The sequence below is a fragment of the Homo sapiens genome, chromosome 11, assembly GCF_000001405.40.
Source record: "Homo sapiens chromosome 11, GRCh38.p14 Primary Assembly".
Classification (NCBI taxonomy): Eukaryota; Metazoa; Chordata; class Mammalia; order Primates; family Hominidae; genus Homo; species Homo sapiens.
This window is the reverse complement of record NC_000011.10, coordinates 69,262,659-69,275,522: the sequence shown is the minus strand read 5'-3', so window position 1 is coordinate 69,275,522 and position 12,864 is coordinate 69,262,659.

Here is a 12,864-nt window from a genome sequence, read left to right as displayed (position 1 = left end):
GATGGGTGGGTGTGTGTATGGATGAGTAGATGAGTTGGTGCATAGGTGGATGGATAGATAGATGGATAAATGGATTGATACATGGATGGTTGGATGGATGGATGGATGGATGGATGGATGGATGGATGGATGGATGTGTACATGGATGGGTGGATGGATGAGTGTATAGGTGGGTGGATGGATGGATGGATGGATAGATGGATGGAGATGTGGGTGGATGGATAAATATGTAGGTGGATGGCTAGATGGATGGATAAATGTATGGATAGATGGATGAATAGATGAATGGATCAATGGGTGACTAGATGGATTGATGGATGTGTATATAGATGCATGCAAACACACATGAATGAATGCAAGGGCAACAAAACACGGTAACAAGTCATGAATAGGGAATGGGATGAGGTCATCGTCCACCTTTCTCTTAACCATATTCAGGTATATCAGAAAATGAGGTCATGTGAAAAAATTATTTGAGACTTTTGTTTTTAAAGAGATAAAGTAGCTGGCAAGCTGTGCGTATGGAGCAAGCCCTGAGCTGTGTGAGGGCCTGCTCCCCCCACTCCTCCCCTGCCTCCACTCCCCCCACTCCTGCTGGCTCACTGAACCCCTCCCTAATGCTGCTTTCCCATGGGAAGGCTGAGAAGCAATAGCAATTTCTTCTGAATGGAACTCTCCCCTGAGCCAAAGAGTAAACAGGAGCCAGCAAAGAGCTCAAGTTGGTGTGTAACTGCTCGGGCGGTGATTACATAACCAGGACATACCTGGGAGAGGCACTGATCCAGGGGATTTTAACAAGCAAGTGGGGAGGGCTAGCGTGGGAGGCGGGCAGGGGGAACGCCCAGTGCAGGAATGGCCGTGCAGCTACCTGGCCTTGCTGGGAACTGGAGCCGGCTTGCTTGGGGAGGAAGGACACTCAAGTGTCACTTACTGAGAGCCTTGTACCATGACAGTCCTCTTGCATGATTCCTTTGTTTAATCCTCACAAGGGCACTACAGAGTGGGCTAGTTCAGCTATGTTCCCTTTGATAGATGAAAAATTAAAACTAGACACAGAGAGGGGTAGCCAGGCAGCAACTGTGTGGTGAGCTGGGATAGCCCCAGACTGGCTCCAGGGACTGCAGGGTAGACCGAGCTATAAGGCTGGTGCTTTCTCTTCTCCTCTCCCTTCCCTGCCTTGCTGTCCTCCTTCCCTCCCTCCTTCCTCAATTCCTGCCATCAGATCACGTGTCCAAATATTCTTCCAATTGTCCACCCATCCACCCACCTGGTGCCCAGTGGCTTTTCCCTTCTCTCCACAGTAGTGGACCTGCATCAAGAAAGGGACCAAAGGGAAGCAAGATGCAGCTGCTGCCTGCAGAAGGGCTTTCTGACAAGGACGGGTGATGTAGAAGCATCCACCTGCCACAGGACATAGCTTGAACACTTCGGGTGCTGAGCCCTTCCTGCCTGTGGGATACTGAGCAGTTTTGCAATGATTTTCTCCTTTCACCCGCGAGACGGCTCCAAGTTCAAAGCCATTATTCTCCTGTGGCAGAGAGGAGACTGAAGTCCAGAGAGGTGGGCTCAGGGTCTCATGGGAGCCTCAACCTTGGGACTTGGAGGTCAGGGAGGGCTTTCCAGAGGGGGTAGCCTCAAGCTGGCAGAGCAGTTCAGGGTGGGGGATGTTTTTAGCCGCTAGAGCCTTGGGATGGCGAAAGTGGGGAGAGGGTCCTTTGCTGCCTGGCATTCGGCTGCCCCACTATCCTCCAGGAGGAGGGGACTTGGGAAAGCCATGGCGCACCCAGGCAGAGCCCTGGCCAGGCTGAGGACAATTGGCCCAGAGCAGTGGCTTCAGCCCTAGAGCATGGTTGCAGAGTGAGACCATGCACACTGAGACCCTTCTCTGTGTCTCCCCGTCTACAAAGGGAGGGTGAAGTGAGACAAAGCGTGGAAGCTGTGTTGGCACCTGGTGAGTTCTTAGAGGTGGAGGTCCCTGTGGATGCTGCAACTGATAATACGTATCTCCCCAAAGTCCTGCAGGAAGGGCTGGAGCCCAGCCGACAAGCAACAGGGGAGGCCTTGCGCCCAGGTGTTCTTGCCTGCCTGGGCTGTCTGGGGCAACCAGGTCCAAACGGGGTGTCACCCCCAAGGGCGGGACTAGGGTACAAGTCACATCATGAGGGAGACCTCCCTTTCCCACGGCACCCCAGAGCTGCCAAGCGCCACGCTGCCATTGCATAAGCCACCGACCTGCCACCGCTGGCTGCCCCGTGCGTTGCCACGTAAATAGAACCCTGTATTTACCTACCCTGGGGAAGGGACAGGCCTACCTGGTGGGCGGGGAGACAGCAGCTCAGAGGCCTCCAGCTCTGATTTCTGTTCTGCTCCAAGTGCACACACATCCTGTGCCCAGGAGCTGGGCTTGGGTGGGGGTGCACCGGCAGAAGGGGCCAAAGGAAACTCTGCGTCCTGGGAGCATGGGCCAAAGGCCTCTGGGTTGCAGGCTCAGGTTGCAGCCACCAGCTCTGGGCGGGGGAGACCAGACTTGCCTTGCAGGCTACGGCCATATCTGAGCAGCAAGCGTCAGATGGCACTGATGGCCCCAGAGACCTCCCTGCTGTTGGCACTGGTCAGCTGCACAGGAAGGACAAATGGCCATCTGCACAGCCAGGGCCAGAGCCCAGGAGTCTCCAGGAGCCAGCCATGGGCACAGCCCCACCTGTAACAACCATTCCTCCAGAAAGCCAAACTCAGTAAAGACTTATTTTGTTGTAAAGAAATATAATACATGTTTTAGCTTTAATTTCCATAACATTCTAGATGTTCCTATTCTTGTTTTACACAGGAAGAAACTGAGGCACAGAGAAGTAAATGACTGATCCAAGGCCACAGAGCTAATGGGATGATAGAGTCAGGATTTGAACTCAGGTTTCTCTGACCCTAAGTAGTTATTCCCAATAAGTATGCTGCCCCTGTATTTCATCTCAGTGTTTTCATCTACCAAGTAAGAGCAGTCATATAATCCAAGACACAGCATTACTCTGGGCTCTGCGATGAATAATGGTAGCCTCGTGGCATCTGTCCATAGATGCTTGGCTGGATCAATGAATGGATAGGTGAATGGACAGTGGGACAGGTGGGCAGATGGATGGACAGAGTGCCACATTTATGAGTGGGGTGAGAAGATGGCAGGATGGATAGATGGATAGGTGGTTAGAATGATGACCGATAAGCAGATAGACTGGTACATGGACTAACAGGTGGATGAGTAGATGAATGATGGATAAATGGTTGGATGGGTGGATGAGTGAATGCGTGAGGACTAGAAAGGTAAACACAGATAGGTAGAATGGATGGATGATTGAAGGAGTGATGGGTAACTGGATGGATGGATGGATGGATGGATGGATGGATGGGTGGCTGGATGAATAGGTAAATCGGTGGATGGAAGATGAATAAATGAGTGGGTGGACATGTAGATGGATGGTTAGAAAGGGCTTTGAATGAATAACTAACAGTTGGATAGAGGAATAGATAAACAAGTAAATGAATGGATCAATGAACAGATGGACATGTGGATGGCTACAAAGATGGTTGTAATGAAGGCTAGAAAGATGAATGGCGAGATGGATGAGAAGTTAAGTGGGTGAGTGGATGGGTGGCTCTCCTTCCAATCTAACTCTAGTTGGAGAAGAGACTCTCAAACATCCAAAGCCTAGGCCAAACTGAGAGGGAGAGCACCCATACTAAAGGGTCAACCATATCAGCTCTGTGGTGTGGACGTTGCCTGAAGACTGTCAGGTCACCTCACGGAGCCTGTATCCTTGGTGCTGTGAAACAGCCCTGTGGCAGGTGGAAGGAGTGGTGGTGGCCCAGGCAGGACCCTGGCCAAGCTGTGGAGGCTGCTCCTTTCTCTCCTCCTTCAGTGCCAAGCCAGGGCTCCTACGTCACAGCTACCAGCATAGCCCCTGCCATTCTTCCCTCCTCCCTCTCAGTCAGGGCAGCTACAGGTAGACCAGTAGCTCCTTTTCCCACCCCACTAAAGAAGCCAGGGGAGAGCTCTGGGCAAAGACAAGGGCCTGGGGACGTCCCCAGATCTGACACTGACCTGCCATGTGATCGGGGAGGTGGCACTGCCAGTACCTGATCTCTGCTATGAGCAGCAGTCAGACTGGAGTGGAAATACATGGCAGAGAAGCTTGGAGTTACTTTGAGGCAGCCAGATGGAGCCTCCTCAGCCCCTGGTCACAGTCCCTGACACACCCCACTCAGAGCCCCAGGGATCTCTGGACCCCACTGGCTGGGACCATCACCCAAGGCCCTTCGGACTTCAGTGGACTGAGATTCTGGCCCCAGAAACTGAGTCATCCCAGCCCGGAAGGGAAAGGCAGCGAAGCGAAGAGAATAAGCTCAGTTCATCTGGGCCCGAATCTCCCTGGCTAAAGGTGTCCCAATGGACGTGAGCTTGCTCGAGCCCTGCCACTCTCTGGATATCATGTTTCTGTCTCCACCTGGAGCCCATCTGGGAGGCTGGCATGGGTGAGGGATTTGGTGATTTTTTTTATTTTATTATTATTTTTTTTGAGCTGGAGTCTCACTCTGTCACCCAGGCTGGAGTACAGTGGTGTGATCTTGGCTCACTGCAACCACCACTTCCCGGGTTCAAGCGATTCTCCTGCCTCAGCCACCCGAGTATCTGGGATTACAGGTATCTGCCACCATGCCCGGCTAATTTTTGTAGTTTTAGTACAGACAGGGTTTCACCATGTTGGCCACGCTGGTCTCAAACTCCTGACCTCAAGTGATCTGCCTGCCTCGGCCTCCCAAAGTGCTGGGATTACAGACGCGAGCCATGACTACTGGCCAGACTTGGCGATTTTTACAGGACAGGAGTCTAGGGGATCCTGGGCCTGGCTTGGAGGGGCTGCAGAGGACATGGAAAGGATGTAGGAGCCACGACGTGGCAAGCAAGCCCCAGAGCCGGGGCCTGGGAGCAACTCCCACTGAGCATGGGATGGGAGGAAAGGGGGCAGCCCCTGGGAGGAGGGGACCCAGGTAGGCTGAGGGGACCCAGGTGCCTTCAGAGAGAGCCACATCCCCTTCTCCAGGCTTCTGGTCTTTTCAGAGAGAGCCCCGTCCCCTTCTCCAGACTCCTCTGCTCGCAGGACATTTGGCCAGTGCTGACCTCTGCTCACAATGCTGCTGCCATCTCAGGGCCACCATGGGGTCCCTGTGGGACTCCCTCCGGTACCCTAACTCAGAGGCCTGGGACAGGCCTGGGAGGAGAGGGAGGGGCCTGGAGGAGTTGGGGGGCTCACCGTTCCCAGCACAGCCTGCCTGGGCCGCCTACTCCCCACCGACAAGCCGTCAATCGCTCCCCTGAGAGTCAGTGCGTGGGCCCCAGACCTTGTCAATCTGCCGGAGGACACGAAGCCAGGGCCAGAGCATTCCCACGCTGGACAGCCACTGTGGAGGGGCCCAGGCCGCAGGGTTCCCCCAGCCCCAGGCCTGCAGCTCCAGCTCCCCTGGAGGCCCTGTGTGCTCCCATTCCACACTCGGACTCAGCAAACCAAGCCCACCCAGGGCTCCTCACACCACCTCGAGTCACAGAGCCCACAGAGCTGTTTCCCAGGCTCGTGTGGGTGTGGGAGGGAGCACCAGGCCCACCAGAGGTTGGGAGGGCCTCCAAGGGCCACTCTTCTGGAAGTTTCTGGGGTCACATGAAGGCTGAGACAGTATAGCTGGGGCCTGGAGGCGAGCTGGAAGGAAAGGCCTACACCCCCACACCTCCACTCAGCCCTATCGGTGACCAGGACAGGTGGTCCCTCTTGGGGGCCTGAAATTCCCACACTCCTTGAGGGTTGTCTGAGGCCCCAGTTTTCAGACTCAGTCTTTTCCACCTGGCCAAGAAATGAAAAGTGCAGACATTTTAAAGGAAAGGGAAAGGGCTCAGAGAGGTTAAGTGACTTGCCCAAGGTCACACAGCAAGGAAGTGGAAGAGCTGGGCTTCAAACCCAGAACTGTGCTTTGCATGCAGCAGGTGCTGAATGAATGCATGAAGATTACAACGTCCATAATCTCAGCCATCGAGACCACATGCTGCCTCTGACTGGCTGGCAGCCAGCAGGGCCCAGCTCCAGGAGTGGGGAGCTCACCACTCACTCTGGACCCCTGGCTACTGTAACCTTGCTCATTATAGGTCTGGGTTCTGCCTGAAACTCACAGAGATGAATCAGGTTCCCTTCCCAGGAGCAGCCTTCAGGGCTCCAAGGCACATTCGGAGCTCAACTCCAAAGCTCCTTGACCCCATCCCTTCCCACATCCCTTTGCACGCCGCCTACACCCCAACTCTGACCCACTGGACCTCTCTCTCCCCTGCCGGCCCCCCGTGCTGAGCCCCGTCCAGGCCACTATGGCTCCCGACTGGCCTGGGCCCTCTCAGCCTCTGGTGTGCCCCCGGTCACTCCCTGCTCTGAGGTTGGGCATCTAGAAGGCCACTCTGTGCCCAGGCCTCTCATTTCCTGGCCTCCTCTGTACATGAGAAGCAGTGGTGTGGCTACTGTTGCTAGGCCCAGAGGGCCTCCCTGGGCCACCTTCCTTTACTCTCTTCCTAGGCAGGACGAGGGGACCCCCATGGCCCCAGCCTCCCAGGACCATCAGCCTGAAGAATCTCCCTCTGCGGTCTCAGGGAAGCTGGGTGGGACCCCAAGCCTAAGGCCAGGATAGAGCCCAACACTCTGGGAGGCCCAGCCATTTTCCTTCCCACCACACAGGCAGAAAGAGGCCCCCACCCCAGGGAACAGATGCCCATCAATGCCTCATAGCAGGGAGATTTCTCAGCACGCCTCCCCTGTGAAGCTCCCCAGGCATGTGGCAGAAGGGGAACGTGGAAGCTGCATTTGAGGTGGACGTCACACACCCATCTGCCAAACAAAACCCATTCGCGAGCTCGAGGGCCAGAAAACCAAGCTCATTCACCACAGGTGCCCGCTTAGTGCAGAGAGAGCGTGGCAAGCTTGATCGTCACTTTCCAAAGTGTATTCCAGTTCCACTGGATGTTAACAGGATCAAGGGAGTTTGGGGACCACAGGATGAAGCAAAGTCTTTAGAGAACTTGCTGGGGCTTTTATTCTGTCTCTCTGAGAGGAGAGAGCAAGCTGGGTTTCTCAAACTGATTTAACCTCCTAAGTTCTATTTCTGGACTGTCTTATGGGACCAGCATTCCCTGGAATCCTTTTTGAGAAACACAGCCCATGCTGTTTCTGCCGCCCTGAAGTGCTTGGCTCCTGTGCTCTGGCCCAGCACTGATGTGGCTGGGGAGGATGCTTAGAGAGCTCCAGGGACCAGGCCTGGGCCCACATTCAGTGACGGATAAAGGTGCCTTCCTTGCCTGGTGGGCACAGCCTCTCTGGGGTTATATGGCACCAAAGCCCACAATGCCACCAGCAAAGATGTATGAGGGCCAAACACAGCCCCTCCTGGGGTTCTGGAGACAGGGTGCAGTCCCCACAGACTAGCAGAGCCTACAGCTTGCAACCTGGAGGGGAAGTTCCCGAGGTACCCAAAAAGCTCATGCAGGTGGCTCTATCCCTGGAATAGGAATAAAGACCAGTCTGTTCCCACCCCCTCCGATCTCTGCCATTTCCACCAGCCAAGAGCCTCCAATGCCCTGGTGTCCCAGAATCTGGGAAGTCTGGCCCCAAACAGCCTGTGAGTGGCTACCTCGGGCCCGTGGGTGTAACGGGCACCGAGGCTGGCTCTCTGTTGCCCCATTCCCCAGGCTCCACAGACTCCCTGGCTGCTGGCTGGGCTGCCTGGGCCCCTCCTCTGGGGCCTGCCTCCTGACCCTGAATAGCTTTTCACATTTCCCCAGAAGCGCCTTTGATCCGGCGGGGATCTTTTCCATTGATTCAGCATCTAATCTGGTTTCCCATCTGATTGCAACGGTCCCTCCACGCCTCCTTCCGCTCAGTGTTTTCCTAATCCTCGGCCCTGCTTACTTATCGCTTGCTCCTGAGCACTGGCCAACTCCTTCTCTTCCCCTTGACATTCCTGCCCCATCTTCCTCCCTCTCTCCCTCCGTCCCTCTGCGGCTGGCCATGGCCTTGCCTGAGCCAGGCAACCTTGAGTCTGGGGTGCCTTCCTGGAGTACACATCAGTCAGCCTTTCCTTCCTCCCCTCATTTAACCCAGCGGTTCCCAACCTTTTTGGCACCAGGGACCAGTTTCACGGAAGACAATTCTTCCCTGGACCAGGGGTTGGGGGGATGGTTTCAGGATGATTCAAGTGCATTACATTTATCATGCACTTTATTTCCATTATTATTACATTATATAATGAAATAATTCTACAACTCACCATCATGTAGAATCAGTGGGAGCCCTGAGCTTATTTTCCTGTAACCAGATGGTCCCATCTTAGGGTGATGGGAGACACTGACAGATCATCAGGCATTAGATTCTCATAAGGAGCGTGCAACCTAGATCCCTCACATACGCAGTTCACAGTAAGGTTTGCACTCCTATGAGTGTCTAATGCTGCCGCTGATCTGACAGGAGGTGGAGCTCAGGCCGTCATGTGAGTGATGGGGAGTGGCTGTAAATACAGATGAAGCTTGGCTCCCTCACCCACCATTCATCTCCAGTTCCTAACAGGCCACGGACCAGTTAGGGACCCTTGGTCTAACCAACGTTGATTAAATGCTTTCTCTGCACCAGGTGCAGGGGCCCCCACATCTGCAGCCTTTTGCAAAAACAGTGCTTCTCTCTAGAGGCAGAGACTGAACTCTGGAGGCAGAGACTGAACAAAGAAATGTGCAGGGGGCTGACACACAGCCCACCAGGGTGATCACAAAGCCCTCTTGCACACCACCCTGGAGATGGATGAAGTTGTACCCACTGCGTAGATGGGAAAATTGGGGCTAGAGTTATTTTCAATTGCCCCCGCCACACAGCTGTGAGTGTCAGAGCAGGAACATCTGACTTTCTGACTAGTTCACAGCAGGGCTGTTCTAGTTGTCATTCAAGGTCTCTGGCATTTCATTGCCAATGTCCACATTGACCAGCTACAGGGTCCCAGGGAAGCCATGCTCAATAGAATGTGGCCCAGGCTCTGACATTGTCCTGGCTTGAAAAGTTCGTGCCCCAACCCTGCCCAGGCACACACACCCTGTTCACCTGCGATGGGCACCCCAGGCAGCACCTCCACGAGAAACAGAGGCCAGAGCCCCCTTTATCTCCTCCTCCCTAACAAGACTGCCCAGGCAACTGACCTTGAGGCCCACATGGAGGCAAACAGTCCTGGCAATTATCTTCCAGGGGCGTGGGCAATTAATTGAAAATCTGAGGCTGGCAAACTTCCATGCCCGCCTGGTGGAGAAGGCAGCCCCCTCCCTCCTCCCTCACATGAGGTCGGGAAGACGAGGGGATGGCCAGACTTGGGCTCCTGAGCAAGCAGCAGCTGTGTGGGCAGGACCTGAGGGGCTCAGTGCAAAGTGAAAATGCAGGACGCCTTGTTCAAAGTTATTAAAGAGCATCTAGATGGTGACGGCAGGGCCGGGCACAGTGGCTCATGCCTATAATCCCAGCACTTTGGGAGGTCAAGGCGAGTGGATCACCTGGGGTCAGGAGTTCAAGACCAGCCTGGTCAACATGGCAAAACCCTGTCTCTACTAAAAATACAAAACAAATTAGCCGGGCATGGTGGTGCACACCTGTAATCCCAGCTACCTGGGAGGCTGAGGCAGGAGAATCACTTGAACTCGGGAGGTGGAGGTTGCAGTGAGTCGAAATCGCACCACTGCACTCCAGCCTGGGCAACAGAGTGAGACTCTGTCTCAAAAAAAAAAAAAAAAGAAAAGAAAAGAAAGAAAGAAAGATAGATGGTGGTAGCAGAGCTTTGAACCCTGAGAGAGCCCCACTGACCCAGGGGCTGGTGCAGCTACACAGGTCACTTGCCCGAGAGGCTGGCCTGGCACTGGGCACTTAGCAAAATCCAGGATAAGATCCCTCATCATTTGCACGACCCATGAAACCCCACGTCACTGAGCCCCAGCTGTGGTCTAGCCTCTTGTCCCTCTTCCCTGCCCTCCCAGGTCCCCACCACCCACAGCTTGCCTGTCACTTCTTCAGAGGGTCCTTCCCTGGCTGCCCAGGGCTGATCCCTCCCTCTCTTCTCCATCCTTTCTAGAGGGTGACGTCACACGTGTGTGTGATTGTTCACTGCAGTGCTGGCCCCACTGTGGTGTGCTTGATAAACACATATTGGGGGTGAGAATGGGGAGCCCCAACTTTGTTACCTGCGGGACCCTTACTCTGTGTTCTGAGCTCCTCAGCTGAGGCTCCTGCAGGGCCTGGAGACCCTCGGCTGGTCACTGTCATTATATACCAGCCTGCCCCTCATCCCAGCCCTCAGTCGTGGCTGTGAGCTCTAGAACAGGGTCACGGGGCCTTGCTTTGGAGGCCCCAAGGCACCCAGTGCCGGGTTACATATAGTAGGCATACAGTAGGCACTCAGCAGTACTGAGAGTCCCTGCACTGCATTCTCTGGGCCTCAGAGCCATGGGGCCAGTGAGGGACATGGGCAGCAGAGCAAGAGACAGGGCACGTAAACATCCTGCACATCTGCCCCTGGCTTCTGGCTGTGTGCACCTACACTCTGTCTGTGAGCTCTTCCTCGTGAGACTGCAGGTTATGCTGGCATCCAGACCATTCCCACACAGCAGGGTCTCTCTGGCTGCCTGGTGTCTACAGATAGGGCACATTCCCTCCCAGCCACCCCAGCAAGGAAGACAGTGACCTTGCTCCTCCCACCCAAAGCAGATACACGCTGGAGGGGAGCAGCGGCCAGGGGAGGGTTGAAGGCCATGCTCTGGTGTAGCCGCTCCCTCCCCAGGGCCCAGGGCAGGCCAAATCTTGGGTCTTGGGTGGCATTCCCTGTAGATGCTTCCTTGTTCCCTCCCTCCTTACTGCCAACAACCCCTGCCTCCCTCAGCCAGGCCCAACCAGGGAAGCTAGTGATTCAGCACCCTTAGGAGCCTCCTAGTCACCTCCTTGATGCCAGGTGTGGGGCATTTGGGGCTCGGTTCTCTTCAGACCCTTCAGACCCTTCTGATCCTTCTGGTCCTTTGCAAAACACAGCCCCAGGGTTGAAGGGCAAAGGCGCCGCATCTGCCCTGTTATTGTTCCGTTCTTTCTACTCAGGAGGTGTGGGGAGGCCTCTGTCACAGGGTCTGGGGCCTCACATGGCCACACACGGCCTCAAAGAGGGCTGAGGACCCAGGGGGTCACAGAGCAGCCAAAAGTCCTGGGACACCTGCAAGGACGGAGCCTCACGTTCTGGCAAACCCCTCAGGCTTGTCCTGGTGCCCCACAGACTCCATTGCCAAAAGGGCCAGCATGAGATGGAATAAGGGCTACATCAGGGGCATATTCCATGACTGGGACACAGGGCAGGGGTTCTGCTGGCACTGAGGGAACCCACCCAGGAGATGACTTCTGAGCTGGGATTCAGAGCATGAGTGCAACATTTAGGGGAGGGCTGAGTACATGCTATGGCCCAGTGCAGGTGGGAGGGTGCAGTAGGGCAGGAGGAAACACAGAGGTGCAAAATGCCCTGGGCTTGGGAAGCAGGACAGCCTGCTCCGCACATGACAGAAATATCTTAGCTCCCAGACAAGAATTCAGAGTGATCTTGGAAAGCAGCCAGCCCAGTCTCTTCATGGTGGGGGCTGTGGGGACGGGTGTCGGGGGTGGGGGCAGTGACAGACTTGAGGTCACACAGCTGGTCAGGGAGGAAGCCAGGGCTTACCCAGGCCAGGAGTGCCCTGGTCTGGGCCCTGCCCTCAAGTTCGGGGCACCTAATGAATTTCTTCTGCTTCCTTGTAACTCCAGAAGAGCAACTGAGGTCTAGAGGATGACATCATCAGAGTCATATCAGCTACACGGAGACACAGCCCAGAGCAGGAAAAGGGTACTGGACTACTGCTTTCAGAACCTAGAGTGGGAAATGATTCTCCATCATGGCCCTGGATGTTGAGTTGTCATTGTCTGTTTACACATCTGTCTTCCCACCAGACTCTGAGCAGGATGTAGCAGGTGCTCAGTGAGTGTGGATGGATGGGTGAGTGGATGGATGGATGGATGGATGGATGGATGGATGGATGGATGGATGGATGGATAGATGGACAGATGAATGGACAGACAGATGGATGGAAGGATGGATGGATGGATGGATGGATGGATGGATGGGTGGGTGGATGGTTGGATGGATGGATGGATGGATGGATGGATGGATGGATGGATGGATGGATAGATGGACGGATGGATGGATGGATGGATGGATGGATGGATGGATGGACAGATGGATGGATGGACAGACACGGTGGGTGGATGGACAGATGGGTGGACAGATGAATGGATGGACAGATGGATGGACGGACGGATGGATGGATGGATGGATGCACGGATGGACAGACAGGTGGACAGACGAATGGACAGATAGATAGATGGAAGGATGGATGGGTGGAAGGATGGGTGGGTGGATGGATGGATGGATGGACAGATGAGTGGACAGATGAATGGATGGACAGATGGATGGATGGATGGACAGACAGAAGGATGGATGGGTGGATGGATGGATGGATGGATGGATGGACAGACGGATGAATGGGTGGATGGATGGATGGATGGAGGGATGGATTGATGGATGGATCAATGGATAGACAGAGGGATGGATGGATGGATGGATGGATGGATGGATCATCCATCTGCTAAACTGCCAAAGTGTTTTCCAATGTGGCTGTACCATTTTGCCTTCCCACCAACAGTGTACAAGGGTTCTGGTTTCTCCACATCCTCACCAATACTTGTTATTTACTTGTGT